Source organism: Homo sapiens, chromosome 1 (assembly GCF_000001405.40).
Source record: "Homo sapiens chromosome 1, GRCh38.p14 Primary Assembly".
In the NCBI taxonomy this organism is placed as follows: Eukaryota; Metazoa; Chordata; class Mammalia; order Primates; family Hominidae; genus Homo; species Homo sapiens.
The window spans coordinates 198,915,712-198,933,267 of NC_000001.11; the positions used below are offsets into that span (position 1 = coordinate 198,915,712).

The 17,556-nt window shown below is 33.0% G+C and overlaps 1 long non-coding RNA gene across 1 annotated transcript in view, besides 2 other annotated features; it reads right to left on the reverse strand.

Annotated features, from left to right (window-relative positions):
* The window catches only part of MIR181A1HG (MIR181A1 host gene), a 129,427-nt gene that overhangs the window by 107,709 nt on the left and 4,162 nt on the right, over positions 1-17,556 (reverse strand). The window lies entirely within an intron of this gene.
* Positions 4,144-4,233: an enhancer, noted in NCBI's record as "active region_2285". NCBI's record gives its function as "activates an Ori minimal core promoter by ATAC-STARR-seq in GM12878 lymphoblastoid cells {active_cell/tissue: GM12878}" and the evidence as "EXISTENCE:reporter gene assay evidence [ECO:0000049][PMID:35858748]".
* Positions 13,399-13,448: an enhancer, noted in NCBI's record as "active region_2286". NCBI's record gives its function as "activates an Ori minimal core promoter by ATAC-STARR-seq in GM12878 lymphoblastoid cells {active_cell/tissue: GM12878}" and the evidence as "EXISTENCE:reporter gene assay evidence [ECO:0000049][PMID:35858748]".

The window sequence follows — 17,556 nt, forward strand, 5'->3', positions numbered from 1 at the left end:
CTTTATATTCGATTGCCTTTTATTTCTTTTATGCATATATTTATGGGGAAAAGTTTCTTTCCCTACTCTTGTCTTTTCATATGTAATGAGTTCCATTAATGTAACACTTTAAGCTCTCCTTTTTATTCTACTCCAGACATGCATTTAAATGGGAAGTTGGGAAGGAAAAACTGGACACGTGAGCCTGCATATCTCCATATCTTCTTTTTCTCTCTTTCTCCCTCATCCTCTCACTGTCTAACTCTCATGTTCCCTTCCTCTCTTTGTATTGCCTATAGAATGTAAATCCTCCCAGATGACCTCTCTATGCTATAAATTTTCAGCCCACATACTTGAAGGTGTGAGTCACATTCTTCAAAATGATCAGCTGTAGCAATAATAAAGGTGATATTCTGCCTCCACCTATTTTGCTTCTTATTTCAGAACTTGAGTGGGGAAGAAGGGTGCTATTTATTGACTTCCTCAAGAACTTCAACTATCTAATGCATGGCTTGAAACAAATATAACCTTGCTTTCTGAGTGGAATGAAGTATTATCAACACATATTTACCTATATTTTATACTACTGTTTCGGTACTTTCTTTTTTAATTGTGATTCAGAAATATGTGTGCAGTAGGGCCTAATTATCATATTCTTATTTTTCTTCTCAAACAACAAATCAGTTGTTTCAATTAATTGTGCTGACACTTCATGTCTCTGAGGTAAAATGATAATCTGTACCTAAATTAGGAAAATAAGTCAAAAGAATACGGATTAAGACGTTTGATGGCAAACACCTGGATTTTGCTCGATGAAGGAATATAAACTTGACCAAAAAAGAAAACAACTTCAACAACTTTCTTTTTAAAACTATTTTACCACAGATTGTGTTATTTTACAAAATTGACATATTTTACCCTTAATAAATCTTTTTAAATTCTCATTGCAGTAAAGCACACAGGGAGTCTCAGCAGAGGGTAACTCTGCTCTGAATTATGATTTCCTTATTCTTTCCTATAGTGTTCCCATTAATTCAGAGGTACTATTTCTCTCCAATGAGAAAAATCATCAAAATCAAGAGCAGAAAAAAAGGCTACCTTTTCATTTACTCTCTCAGTAATTGAAACCCCCTATAACCACTCTAGCATCTAACATTGAACTACATAAAAGCTATAGCAATTCAGTCAAACTCTTGAAGCTGGCTGTATTAGGGACAATGAGCTACAATTATACTCTAAAAAACATAATTTGAGACTATACATATGTCAAAGTCAACACTTTAGAAGTGGCTAATAAAGAACCATATTGATACCGAAAAGTCATTAGGGACAATCAGCTGTGTTAATGGGAAAGAATGACATACTCTGGGGGGAGCACCATGGCAGTTGTTATCATAGCTGCTGGGAATCCTACGGGAGTGCCATTTCCACAAAAATAAGAAGAGAGCATAGACTGTCAGGGGCTGCCTTTCATGGCACTTGAAATCTCTTTGGAGCTGGCATTGCACACCTGAGTCTCTATGACCCATATAAAAATGTGGCTATTGCTTCTGAATGCCTCCCCAGCTTCATCCAGATTCCTAGATCAGAGAACCCCATGCATGGCTTCTGTTTAGTCGTCACAATGTGTTCCTTTGCTATCTCCTTGCAATTTCATTTGCTTTCTAAATCAATTCCAGCTGTTATTTTAAAAACCATCTTAGCTTAAAATCTTTTTAGCAGTTTCATTTGTTACATCTTCCAGGTTCACCCCATAGAAAGAATAAAACCCCTGACGTTTATGTGGCCAGTTTCTAGGAAGTATAATTCTGTCATCTGGCCAAAATACAGACATACCATATTTTATTACACTTCACTTTATTGCACTTTGCAGAAATTGTGCTTTTTGCAAATAAAATGCTTGTAGCAACCCTGCATTGAGCAAGTCTGTCTGTGCCATTTTTCCAGTAGCATGTGCTCTTTTTGTGCCTCTTTGTCACATTTTGGTAACTCTCTCAATAATTCAGAACTTTTCATTATTATTTTATCTGTTATGGCAATCTATGATCAGTGATTTTTTATATTTACTGTTGTAATTTTTGCGGGTACATGAACTGCACCTATGTAAAATGGAGAATTTAACTGATAAATGTTGTGTGTGTTTTGACTGCTCCACAGACCAGCCTTTCCTCTGTCTCTCTCCCTCTTCTTGGGCCTGCTTCTTCCTTGAGACACAGCAATATTGAAATTAGGCCAACCCTACAATGGCCTGTAAGTGTTTAGGTGAAAGATAGAACCACATCTCTCATTTTAAATTTAAAGCTAGAAATGATTAAACTGGGTGAGGAATGCATGTGGCAAGCTGTGACAGACCAAGAGCTAGGCCTCTTGTGCTAGTTAGCCAAGTTGTGAATGCAAAGGAAAAGTTCTCCAGGAAATTAAAAGGGCTACTTCACTGAACACACAAATGATAAGAAAGCAAAACAGCCTTATTGCTGATTTGGAGAAAGTCTGAGTGGTCTGGATAGGAGATCAAACCAGCCACAACATTCCCATAAGCCAAAGCGTAATCCAGAGCAATACTCTAACTCTTCAATTCTATGAAGTCTGAGAGAGGCGAAGAAGCTGCAGAAAAAAGTTGGATGCTAGTAGAGGTTGGTTCATGAGGTTTAAGGAGAGAAACTGTTTCTGTAACATAAAAGTGCAAAGTTACAGAGCAAGTGCTGATGTAGAAGCTGCACCAAGTCATCCAGAAGATTTAGCTAAGATAATTAAAAAAGGTGGCTACACTAAAAATATATAATTTCAATGTACATAATACAGTCTTCTATTGAAAGAAGATGCCACCTATAACTTTCACAGTGAGAGAGGAGAAGTCAATGCCTGGCTTCAAAGCTTCAAAAAACAAGCTGACTCTCTTGTTGGAAGCTAATGAAGCTGGTGACTTTAATTTGAAGCCAATGCTCATTTACCATTCCAAAATTTCTAGGGCCCTTAGGAATTATGCTAAATCTACTCCACTTGTTCTCTATAAATGGAACAACAAAGCCTGGGTGGCAGCATATCTATTTACAGTATGGTTGACATGCTGTATTTTAAGCCCACTATTGAGACCTACTGCTCAGAAATATAATTTTCTTTTAAAATATTACTGCTCATTGAGAATGTACTTGGTCACCCAAGAGCTCTGATAAAGCTCTAATGCAAGAAGATTAATGTTGTTTTCATGCCTACTAACACAGCATCTATTCTGCCGCCCATGGATCAAGGTGTAATCTTATTATTTAAGAAATACATTTTGTAAGGCTATCACCGCCACAGATAGTAATTCCTCTGAGGGATCTCAGTAAATTGGAAACCTTCTGAAAATGATTCATCATAGTAAATGCCGTAGAGAACATTTGTGATTCATAGGAGGAGGTCAAATTATTAATAATAACAGGAGTTTAGAGGAAGTTGATTACAACCCTCATGGATTACTTTGAGGAGTTCCAAGACTTCAGTGGAGGAAGTAACTGCAGATGTAGTGCCAATGGCAGGACAACAAGAATTAGAAGCCGAGCTTGAAGACGTGATTAAATTGCTGCAATCTCATGATAAAACTTTAATGAATGAGGAACTGCTTCTAATGGACAAGCAAAGAAAGTGGTTTCTTAAGGTGGAATCTACTCCTGGTGAAGATGCTGTAAATATTGTTGAAATTACAACAAAGGATTTAGAATATTACATCAATTTAGTTGGCAAAGCAGATGCAGATTTTGAGAGGACTTACTTCAATTTTGAAAGATGTTCTACTATGGGTAAAATGCTACCAAACAGCATTGCATGGTACAGATAACTCTTTAATGAAAAGAAGAGTAAATCAGTGTGCTGAGCTTCACTGGTGTCTTATTTTCAGAAATTACCACAGCCATCCCAAACTTCAGCAACCACCCACCTCACCAGTTAACAGCCATCAACATTGAAGCAATACCCAAAACCAGCAAAAAGATTACAACTCTGAAGGTTCAGACAATCTTTAGCATTTTTAACAATATTTTAAATTAAGATATGCAATTTTTTTACATAATGCCATTTCACACTTAACTCATTATCATATAGGGTAAACACACTTTCATATGCACCGGGAAACTAGAAAATTCATGTGACTCACTTTATTGCAATATTTGCTTCATTGCAGTAGTCTGAAACTGAAACCACAAAATCTCTGAGGCACGCCTGTATTCTTCAGGTTAATTGTGGATCAGTAAAAAATCAAACTAAGCTCTTTCACATTTGTTTGGCATATAGAGAAATAAAAAGATAATGATGGTGACATTGATGAACGGGATGGAATTAGTATCAAGCTTCAGTGGTAAGAACAAGAATCTCAGAAATGTAGTCCCAAGTTTTAACATGACAAGTGGTGAGAACTCACTTGTCAATTGGAGGGTGTCAGATGACCAATTTTCTAAAATCAGTGGTTCCATAAACTACTGCTGCTATGAGAGTCCAAGCCATTCCAGAATTTACAGTTTGATGAGAGTATTCTGTCTTCATCTGTCTAGCTCCAAGAGCATCATGGCATCCTACCACTTCTCCTGCTCTGAAATGATTCTGAAACCACTAGTTTTTAGGTCTAAGGTTTGCTGAAAAAGCTATGTGGCATAGGGTGTCAAAAGGAGCACCGTCCTAATCTTGAAGATTCTTGAGGAAATCATACGTCATAGTGTATTGGATCAGATCATGTGGTCAGTGGTTATGCTAATTGTATTTATGCTATGCCCATCTAAACTCTCAATGATATCATTGATTTGATGAAGATAGATCCTGAAACATTGAGAATGACATGAATGAATGTTAAGATTCCAGTGTTATTTGTAGTATATCTGAACTCTTCCAAAGGCCTGTACATTTATTGGAACAAACATCCTACCGCAGCTGCTACTTCTTTGATCACATAGAAAATGTCCCTGCTTGGTGATTTTCTTTTCTTTCATGGCATGCACATCCTTAAGAACTGGGGAAAATATTACTTTAGTAAACTAATAACAACATTTTTTACATACTATCAGAGAAAGAAGTAATTATGGGATTTAATAAAATGCCCTAAGAATGTCATAGGAAATATTGATACAGAAATGCAGGTTTTTTTCTGAAACTGATACATTTGATTAATTCTTGGAGTCTCATTTTAAAAACTCTAGATTTTATTATAATATCACACTAAACATAGTTTAGTGTTTATTTTTATTTTTTATTTTCCTTTTTTTTTTTTTTTGGAGATGGAGTCTTACTCTGTTGCCCAGGCTGGAGTGCAGTGGTGTGACCTTGACTCATTGTAACCTCCGCATCCTAGGTTCAAGCAATTCTCCTGCCTGAGCCTCCTCACTAGCTGGCACTACAGGTGCACACCGCCATGCCCGGCTAATTTTTATATTTTTAGTAGAGATGAGGTTTTGCCATGTTGGCCACTCTGGTCTCAAACTCCTGACCTCAAGTGATCCACCTGCCTCAGCCTCCCAAAGTGCTGGGATTATAGGCATGAGCCCCTGTGCCTGGCCAATTTAGTGTTTATTTTTATAATTCTAAATCTTTAGAATATTTACTCCTCTGGTCATCATTATGAATATCAATTATATTAGCAAAGTATTGAATAAGGACAACTTAAAAAATGTAATTCCCTGAAATTTATTGCTATCCACAAATTTACGATTTTTATAATAAAATGTTCTGCAAACATGCAGAAGATATATTTTGAATATAAAAGAAGAATTAATTATGGTTCATATTTTAAAATGTCATTTTGAATCAATTTACTTATGGATACATCAAGGGCAGATAATACATTTTTCTCATATTTTTTATATCCTCCTACCTGTGTAGTGCAGTGTTTAGAATAAACAAAGCCTTAATTAATAGATATTGAATTAAGGTAGCACAGTGATCCAGTCTCTGTTCTCCTACCCTGAAAATTAACTAGGGAATTTGGTCAGCATCTCCTCTTTTGTCTTCTACTCCTCAAGGACAAATCAGTAAATTAGCTTTACTCTTTACTTATATAGTTAAAAAAATGAATATATGAATGCTTGAATTCGTGACTCAAATATCACTTATGAGTATGGAAGCTGAAGAAAAAAACTGATGAAAAATTATAAATGGGTACTCAAATACAAGACATTCTGGCTGGGTGCAGTGGCTCATGCCTACAATTCCAGCACTTTGGAAGGCCATGGTGGAGGATTGCTTGAGGCCAGGCCTGCAGTGAGCTATGATCTTGCCACTATACTCCAGCCTGGGTGAGAGAGCAAGACCCTGTCTCAAAACCAAACACAAACCAACAGAAAGCACAAACAAAACTGTTTCTAATAATAGTTTTTGGTTTCTTTAATGACTTTTGCAGTGACTACTCAATAACATTTGGAACTCTCATTCGTTTTTCAGGGATAAATAATGGAAGTCAACATGACTTCAGCAGACAATTTCAAATTTATTGTAGAATTTCTTAGAACTTAGGGCAATACTGTAGAGAACTTTGCCACAATTGCTTCCTGTTCCCTACTATTATGTTGCATTTGACCTTCAATAAAAGTTCTACTATAGTAGGCTGAAATTGCATATAAACACACTAGAGACATGTTTTAAAATAGTGGATACCTTCAAAATGAAGGTATTCTGAGGTATTCCTGCCTCAGCCTCCTCAGTAGCTAGCACCACAGGTGCACATCACCATGCCCAGCTAAGTTTTATATTTTTAGCAGAGATGGAGTTTTGCCATGTTGGCCATTCTGGTCTCAACCTCCTGACCTCCAGTGATCCACTCATCTCAGCCTCCCAAACTGCTGGGATTATAGGCATGAGCCACCGTGCCTGGCCAACCTAGTTTCTAATATATATATCTAATATATATATATATATATATATATATATATATATATATATATATATATATATAAAATGCATAAATATTTTTAAGTATATTAGAAATTATTTCAGATCTAGCAAATAACAAAAACTGTTCTGTTGTTTATGGAATAAATGAGTTTCTATAGTGAGTTTCACTACCTGACATAAAATCAAGAACTATTTTTTTAGAAAGCTGGGAACCAACAAGAAAATTTTCGGGCAATGACTTAACACTACTTGTCTAAGAGAGAAGTTGACTTGAGTCACACTTTCACATCTTGTAACTTTCAGTTGATTAATGCGTAAAGAGTCACAGGACAGAAGAGAAGGACTTGTGAGTCCAACCAAGTCTCTAACTAAACCGAACTTTAGTTGTTTATGGAAATTTTAGAAAATGCCAAAAAAAAATTGAGAGGTGTGAGATTTTCGGATTTCTAAGTACATATTTTTAATCCTTGACAGACTCCATTAACCTTGATCCAAGATTGAGACCATCTACAGTTTTTATTTTTTAAACCATAAGAACATGAATTATGTTGATGCCCAATGACTTCCCCTGAGCTAACATTTGAGACTGATTATAAAGTGACTACATTGTAACAATTTGATAACACTGTCCTTGGACTCAGTTTTATCCTTTTGCAAGGATTATTTGTGGCTACATTGATTTGGATGGAAGCCACTACAGGCTGGACTTCTGTGCTACTGTGAACTGTCTTGTAGCCAAGCTCAGTACATTTACTAAAACACTGTGAGATTATTTTTTAAATTTGCAGCCATTATTGGTATTTTTTTTGAAACATTTGTTCTATTTAGATGGAATAGCAGAATATAACGTGTTGAACAGGTAAAGGAGATAAAAATACTAAACAGATGAGCCATAGGGAAACATGACTGAGAACAAACATATTTATAAAAATATATATAAGTGGTGTGGAAATGAAAAGTGTATTATCCACACAGGTCAAATCTTATTATGATGAATTTTAAGAGAGTTTAGTATACAGTAATTTTAAATAAATAATTAGAACGAATGGACTTTTCCATTGTGCTTATACATGTTCTATCTCAGTCTTCCTTGTAATGGAACTTATTACAGAGTTTTGACCTGTGCATCTAAGTATTGATTACTGATGATAATCTGAGATAGGGCCCACATCCTTTCTAGGATTAATATGATCTTGCATTTGAAAAATTATTTATTACTTTGATGTTACCCCCTCCCCCCACCTATTATCTCATGTTTTAAGACAAAAGTGGTGGGAAGCCATGAAGCAAAGCAGCTAGATGCAGGAGTAAAAAGTCTCTCTAGCCTCTGAGTTCAAATCCTAGTCCTATCCCATAGGCATTATAGCATCTTGAGCTTATAACCTGGCCATCCTGTTTCTAAGTTTCCTCATCTCCAAAATAGGACAATAATGGGAGAGTTGCCTCATAGAAATTTTATTAAAATTAGGTGCAATATACATAGTTTTATGATTTACTTGTAGTAAGCACTTAATAAATGTTTCTCATATTATGAGATATATAGAGCATGTGCTGTTATGACTGTTCACAGGCGAGGAAACTGAATAAGAAAGGGGTTATGTCCTTCTGTAGGAAGTCTGATGTTTCTTATTAAAATGAATTGCTAAGCTTTATCCTTAGCAGGACTTTTATCAGAGCTAATGTTTTTAACCAAATGGGTTCATTGTGCCCTTTTTTTCCCTTGACACAGTCATTTTTAAGGGGAAGTCCAAGAAATTGAAAGAACTATACTTTTTATCACTCTAGATACTATATGAATGTAGATTACTTGCTTCTCTTCTCAGGCCTCAGTTTCTTTGTCTTTCTGTAATCTCTAAGGCTCTTTTCTGTTAGAAAATGATGTTACATTATTTCACAAACTAGACAATTAAACTCTTGAACTCTAAGATTTGACTCTAATAAACAAACCATCCTAAATTAAAAGAAAAGGAACCCACATTTTGACCATAAAAATGTTATGGATTATTTTGTGGTAATAATTAGGTACTGATATTAGGCACTCCTAGGCCAGTTCTTCCTTTTTTTTTTAACATCCCATTTCAAAAAATGTTGGAAGGGAAATTCAGATCCGTAAACTCAGCCTAACATTGACAGCAGTTATAGAAATAAAGTTTTACCTACCAAGTCCAAATATGATCATTAATAATGTACTGTGTATTAATAGGTGCACATGGTATAGACACATCAATGCCTAATGCAATGACAAATCACACCCAAATCTAATAGAAGTAAATATTACTAAAATTCTACATTATTTTTATTAAATAATTCCACATTTTCAACTAAGAAACTACTTTTGATATTTATTTAATATGGTCTGCTATTGCATCTCTAACCTTTTTTCCTTCATTTTCCTCTGTCTAAAGATTGGGCTTATATGACCAAATATCAGTTGAATACACTGATTTTTTTTTTAAAAAGAAGGATGAAGAAAATCACAGACATTTCTGCAATTTCATATTATGGATAGATTAAGAATAACTGAGTTTTGTATGCTACGAATACCTAAAAAGCAATTTAACTTGAATCTATTCTGTGTTTATAGAATATTCTAGACCTGGGGATAGTTTTGGTAAACAAATAGATTTAAAAATTTGTTTCTAATTGTCTGCTTTATGGCATGATCTAAATAGTTATTGATTAGAATTTCATAAATCAAATCTTTTGTATAGACTTCAGTGGAAAAAAATATTGTCAATATAATTATAACTATTTACATTTCAAGTATATTTTTAATTCATGTTACATTTCTTCTTTAACTCACTTGTGATTTTTTTCTCCATGGACTACCATTACTCATGTTACACTCTTCATGTTTAGATTTATATTATTATCACTACTTCTGACATTTGAATCTATAAGTTCCATCCCTTATGCTTACTATTAATGGAACTTCATTATGTGTACATCGTAGTTATAAACCAATTTAAACCTAAAGCATAGTCTGAATTAGCAAGAGAATTTATAACTTATTATCATTTATTCAGAAATAAGAAATCTGAGTTAAGTTTGCAATGACAAAATTCAGGGTAAAAGTGTTGGCAACAGTCACTCAATGATCAACTTTCCTATAATAAAAAATAATGGTAGTGCTAACTTAAAACATAATAAATTTGATAATACTCTGAGGACATCCATTTTGTAACTCTTAGTATTAATGTCTAAATCAGCAGTTGGAAACTCCCCACAGTCATATCATGTGGTTTCAGTAATAATAGCTAAAATGTATCCTGCAGTGAATCTTTTCTTTTTTTGAGCTACCCAATGGTTCCATATTATTACAGAATTTGCAGAGAATAATTTCTACCCCAAAAGAATCTTTACAAATAAGTGCCCATGCTGTTTCCTGACTTTACTTGGCTTATCTGTAAAATGCATTATCAGAATTGAATAAGATCCTTTTAAGCTATGTGATTTTACAAGTGATACTTCATAAAGAAAATCAGCGGATTCTGGTGAAGAATGCTTTTCAGAAGACACAGATAGGAACCAAAGTTCATATACAAATGAGTTTAAAATATGAAAATTAAATACTAAAAGAGAATAACCTTGAACAAGTGAGGCCACATTTTAAATAGGATGGACCACTTGGCACATGTATAATATAGAGATTATTTTGAGAGCTCAGAATTTATTAATTGGCTAATGGTCTCATTTTTAGATAATCATGTAGAGATACGTCCTAAGACCTTGGAGATCCACCAGCCCTACATCTCTAAATTACTGATAAGGAAAATGAGGTCCAAAGAGAGCCACCCAGCTGTTGAATAACATGTCTTCTGACTCCTTACCCAGTGCTTTTCTTATTTGCTATTTCATCTTGAGAAACAGACATGGGTATTCTGAAAGACAGTTAATTAATTGACCAAAATTGTGGAGAAGAAAACAAAAAAGACCGAAATAATAGACACTGACTATGTAATTATCTGGAGGAAAGAGTATTGGTAGTTTTTAAATCTAATAAACATACAAATGTCCAAGAAAAAGAAAAAAATAATAAATATTTAGTTAACATATTTCAAGTTCTTTTGGCCAAATTATAAGAAGACAGCCTTTAAAAAACAGCTTTCCATATTCTTGAATTTATTTTATAGCAAAAATGTGATGTCTTTGAATAAATGACTTGGCATACAAAACTCACAGAATAAAGAATTTTAAATATATTATTGTATAGTAATAATATGCTCTTTTGATAAATGGTATGGCTGCAATCATTGTATCAGCATTTTTTACATAGATCTAGTGTAAAAAGTCAGGAGTCACATTTATTGAGGGCTATAATATACTCTCTCTGAACCTGAGAAAAAATGGAGTCTTTCATATTCACCTGTCTTCATCTTTAGACCATGTTAGCCCAAACATTGTCTGGAGTAAATATTTACTAGTGGATACTAATTGTCCAATTTTGAAATAACTCGTAGTTAATAAATGTGAGTTGAAGATAGTTTAGGTGGATAGCAATCTCAAATATCTAACAAAGGTAGTACAGTTGCTTACATGTTTTAGGCATTAAGAACTTGACTAAAGTTTTAAATTGACTATAGGTATCTCTTGATATATTGCTACCTAGATAATTTAATTAGTGAGGAAAGTATTAATAGGGGGCAAATCATTTAAACTCACCTTTACGTACATCTGAAGTTTTTTTGTCTATAGATTATGTTTAGGATCATACATGATAGGAAAGGTGCTGATGCAGATTTCTACTCTGATGCCGTGGCAGACTCAGAGCATTAGAGGTTTGTATGGCAATGCATTACCACATGGTTCATGTAAATCTGCAGTAATACTGTATTCAAATAAGGATCTTGGTTTCAGTACACTTGTTCAGAATTGCGTTTGCCCCTTTTTAAAGGAAAATCTAGTTCCAAAAAGCAACCCTACTGTCAATGCTCTTTCTTTAACTATGATATTGGTGCTATTTTCTTGGCCAACAAAAGACAATTCTTAGGGATTGTTAGAATATTTTACAATAATCCTTTGAGAGTGTGGCATATGAAAATTAATGCATGGAGCTAACTGTAATACATTCTTCTTTATGAAAACAATAAAATGGGAGAAACAGAAATAATGTTAAAGAATAATATTTTAACCATATTACCAATTCCTTATGTAACATAAAAATAGCTAAAATGTAAGACTTAATTCCAAAGAATTTGAATAAAATAAAGGCATGAGGCATATTTTCTCAATTTCTGCAACCATGAAAGTTAGTTGAAGCAGGTGGAAAGATCTTTTAATTTAAATCTTTAATCAACGTTATAGTTTTAAACTAAAAATATATTAATAAGTACAGTATCCAATGAATATATTTATTTGAAAAATTTCAATAACTTAAAGACAAATTTAAAAACTAGTTAGGAATTATATATTTGATACCTCATTCTTTTTATTGTTTCTGATATGTAGGTGATTAAAATGTAAAAATAGAGACAAGAAAGATAAGTTGCAAACTATGAGATAGTGATTACTTCCATAGCCAGAGGGAAATCAGGATATGAAATGAGGATGGGAGTCTTCAACTGTATATAAATAGTTCTTTTTTTAATAATTTGGGGGTAAGTATAGCAAAATATTATAAATTATAAATCTTGATCGTGGAAATATGGATATGTATATCATATTGCTTTACTTTTCTGTGTAGTTTAAAATATTTCAAAATGTAAAATAAAGTTTCTTCTACATTTTAAATTTCTAGCTAAAAGAAATGCTTATATATTATTTCTCCAGTGAAATTTTAAAACCAACCTTTTCCTCAAGTTAGATATTTTATTGTCTTCACAATTCAAAGCCATGTATTTAAAATACATGAATTTATGTAATTTGGATAATTCTTTGCTAAACAAAGCATTCAGCAGAAAAGTAAAGTAAAATTCTGAATGTTATTAATGTAATCCAATACTTGCAAAACTTTATTTCCCCTTTTTATGTTTATATAGTTAATATAGAGTCATTTCATATGTTTATGCATGTTACATATAATAGCATTAGATTTTAGAGGCATATATATGGTTGGTTTGTTAAAAAAATCTATTAATTAGTATGTATAAATGGATGCTCATTTATATTTATCAAACACCATGTAAATACATAAATATATTTTATAAAATGTTGTAGTAAAAATTGTTTACTAAAAACACTAAAGTAGTTGGTGTATTCATCTCTTAGTTTATAATTTTTAAAAATAAAATTAATCCTTTAAACAAATATAAGCCTAGAATAGAAGAGCTTTATTTATTACTAAAAGTGTATGTGTGAAAACATAGAGGAAATAATTATATAAAGTTTTCTATGTCCCCCTCAAAGTAAAGTAGCTTAAATAGAAATCACTATTTTAGATATATTCTTACAAGAATTCTTTCTAACAACAAATGTAGTAATCTGGTTTAAATGTAAGTTGCACTTGAATAGCCTTATATCTTGAAGAAGAGCAATATGCACTATTTATTAATTATAAAAGGAAACGAATCTAAGTTTACTGAGTTTTTAAAGTTTTTAATAAAAATGTGAGCATCATAGCTACTGGATTATTTGCTATGTTCAACACACTCCGTTCACAATTAAAGTTTGCACATAGTGTCTAATAATGGTCAAGCACTTGCAAAAATGTTGCACCTGGAACAGGGAGGAGTGAGAAGGGCAAAGGTCAAAACCAGTCCTTAATAAGCATTGACTAAATAGACTTTGGACTCAGTGAAAAGTCCAGACGACCCCTGCAGCGTCATCTTACAGCTCTGATTTTCCTCTTTTCAACATGTAGTATAATCCATAAATACAACCAAATCACTAGCAGCTTAGTCTTTGGTTTGGTTTTCATCTTTCAGTTTCCCCCCACTGCCCCCTTCAAAAAGATTTGAAAAATTAACCCCTTTCTGTCCTCAGACTAACCAAATAATGAATTTCTTCATAGTCACTGTTGTCAGCTTAAATCGTTAACTCTTTTCAGGGCAAGAGGCACTTTGTAAAGTGGCTCATAATAACCAGAGTAGTGACTGAGTGTTTCATTTTCTCCCAATATATTTTGAATAGATAACTAATAGTAACAAGCCAATCAAACAATTATACAAATCAGTGAATTATGTCTCTTTTATAAATGTTTTTAAAGCAATAGAATTAAATTAATACTTAAAACCTTGCAAGGAATTTTTACTTCTGTTTTCCCATCACACAGTGGTTGTATTTTCATGAGTTTCTTGATAATTCATAGGTATAATAAAAATGTCTATAACCAATTTTTGACATACTCTTCTAATTTCAAATTATTTGATACAGTTTACACCCTGATATTCTTATTGGCATAGTCTCCTCTTTTCATACTTGTCTTTTATTTTTCTAGTCCAACATTTGCTGAAGGAGAAGTTAGTTCCTTTAAGTTAAAACAGTAATTTCCCTACAGGAAATATACCGAATCAAGTATAAACCACAAGAATGAGTCGAGCATCTACTTCAAGTGCATTAGTTGAGAGAAGCCTTCCACTCTGAAGTGGGAACACTTCATGAACCAGAAGTGAGAGCTGCCCAATCAAATTCAGTGTAATCGTATTATTCTGTCTACTACACTGCAGATTTTCAGAATGCCAAAGACATCTGCGTCGGTCCCTACATTTATCCTTTTGATGTCATGTCTACCCTGTTAACCCTGTTTCCCTTAGAGTTAAAAATATAACATTTTAAAACAAAAATTTAAGAAGACAGCTCTGCGTGTGAAACATAAAGAGCACCATTGAGGGTGAGGCAAAGTCCTAACTAAGCAGAAATGACTGGGAATGTAGCAAACTGGGTGGAAGTTCAGGAAGTGTGCTATAGTCTGAAGGAGGATCCTTTAGAAGGAGCATGAAAACAGATAGAAGTAGTGTCCCTGGAGAGTTAAAAGAGGCCTGGGTTTCTCAAGGATTGCTGTTCCTAACTGATTGTCGCAGTCTTAGAGAACAGGAAAGAGGATACAGCAAGGGGCAGACATTTTGCACGATTGCAAAGCTTCCCTAACTGGCCCTATTTTTTTATGCTCTGTTCGCCTACAGAATCAGGATACATGGAAACAGAGCAGTAAATCTCAACCATGACCCAACACAAATAAAAGTACCAAAACTTATTTCAAAGATAAGTAGAAAGTGTTTCTTATTTTATGTAATATTTTTGATTATCTACAATCTTGCAGGATCAAGACCAATTTTTCCAGAGTAACAAGGAAAAGGAGAAAAATGGGAGTAGCTCAGAGTTCTATTCCTTATTTAAAACTATCTGTCCAGAACATCTTAGCTTCAACCATCTGAAATTATAACACCGATGTAATTTTACTGTTTTTTCCCCCAAGATTCTATTATCCATTACCTCCCACCAACAAAGTTAGATTCAGCACTATTAAAATGTATAGTTTTAAAAGTAAAGCAAAACTAGAAATTTGTATAATGTAATACTTTTATGCTTTTTTTGTGTGTATATTTTGTTTGATTTCTTAAGTTTCTAAAAATATTGTATTTATTTGAGGTAGGAAAACAAGAATTGGCTAAATCACTGCCCTTAATTTTTCTAATGGGTTTTTATAATTCCTAAATTGATGGGAAAATCATCAAATATTGGAAAATTCTTATATTTTGGAAGCACAAATTGATTCACAGAACATATATATAATTATATATTCTCTCTATATAGATTGAATATATATATACACACACATATATATAAAAGATGATCTCAGATATTTAAATTTTCCATGTTCATAAAGAATTTACTTCATATTTTGGTGGCTTAGAACATGTCTTTATATTTGTGAATCCCATGAACAAATACAGTTCAGTTTTCTCTGAAATTTTGATTTAAAAAAATTATAATTGATCTTATCATTCATAAGACTTGCACTTTTCAAACAATTGAAAAAACATGGCTTTTGATGATTAGGCAGCACATATTTTTGGACAACTAATAGATTTGCTTGAGATATAAAGTACCTGATGAAGAATGAGCAAAGAACACCCAATCAGATAGAGTGTTGCCCTGAGACCACTTCAAAAACCCTGATAATTAATTTGGAGTTTTTCTTAACTCTATTATATATTTTTAAAGTATACACCTTTGGTTTATGGTTTTTTCTATCTTTATTAGGCAAACAAATGTCAATATGTCTGGATAACTTGTTTTCATCTAATATTTTCACCATTCGAATAATAAATGTCTTTTAAAAAAATCTTTGACTCTTTGCAGTAATTAATTAAGATAATTATTTGAGTCAAGAATTTTTCAAAAAGAAAAAAATTCTGGGAACTTAGATGCCCACTTTTAATACATACGTAATTCGCTGAGCTATACTGAATATGGAGCTCACGTTCTATTCTTGATTTTTTTTACTGGTCCAAGTTCAAATAAAATTTACATAAAAATATTTTCTTTATAAAATGACTATACAGATAATGAACCAAGAATATTATATAGTGAATATTTTCATGGTAAATTTAAAAAGCATATGTATCTTCCAAAAATAATGTTTTTTTAAATAACAAGAAAAATTAATTTAGTACAACCATTCTTTCATCTTAATTCAACCAATATTTTATTTTTTAACCAATAAAGTGCTTACTAGACAGTTGAAACTGTGTAAGCGAATAATAACTTAAAAGAATTACTTGTGATAAAATGATAGAAAAAGCCAACTCAAATAATTTTCATTGAAGACAAATCTTGCAGCTATATTAATATTAATAAAAATTAAATGCTTTTGATTAGTCTAGATTGGCTTGTAATGGTAAAACACAAAGACAAAACTGAGGCAGTGAGCCTCACAATGCCTCTACTGATTTCTCTACTGGCCCTTCCTCTGCACATGGTCAATTAGAATTGAAAATCCTGTGCTGATTTCATTCGCTGGAATTTTTAAGCAGGTCAGGAAGAAAGATGTTATTGAAAGGAAAAGTCTCATCTAAATAAGAAAGGAGCACGTGGCCATCTGGTCTTAGCTATACATATAAAAAGTTATTTCAGCTGAACTGCAGTCTTGATGTTTAAAAAGATGTGCCAGAAATCAAACCAAAATCTGTTTACGGTAAAATATCCCAAATGTTTCTTTTTAAACTTTCAAATATGCAATACACAGTTCATTTCCTATCTGTGATTCATGAGCCCATTTGACCCCAGCGCCTCACTGAGCTTGACTGAGTTTCACTCAGTAGAACATTCAATCATTTTTAGAACACTTTTCCTTCATAGAGTGTCAACAAGACAGTGGATCTTTTGAAAATTGTGAAAATAACTTTGATAGTTTTCACTCAAATTAATTTTGAGTATTGTCGTCATGTAGGATTGCAAGAATAAAATTTGAAACATAAAGCAGCCAAACCAGTTTCCCTTGTTTTCTCATCGCAACTTGAGGTTCCTGTGCATTCTCTGCACAGTGCTCAGGTATCTACTCACAATAATTTCAGGCCCTATGCCTAAAGGCTAAGTTAAAAAAAATTCTCTTTTCATGAAGAGAAATTTTAAGTGTTGAGTCTTCTTTTGCAAATCATTTTCATGGTAGTAAGAAACAGAGATGGTTTTAAAAATCACATTTTATACTGTTTGTCAAATTAGAGTCATATCTTTTGATATTCTTCTTTGACATGAGGTATTTGTGGTAATTATAACATCAATACATTAATTCATCCAATATCTGATAATGCCCTTCTGGTAGTATAGACATAGCTAGTTGATATC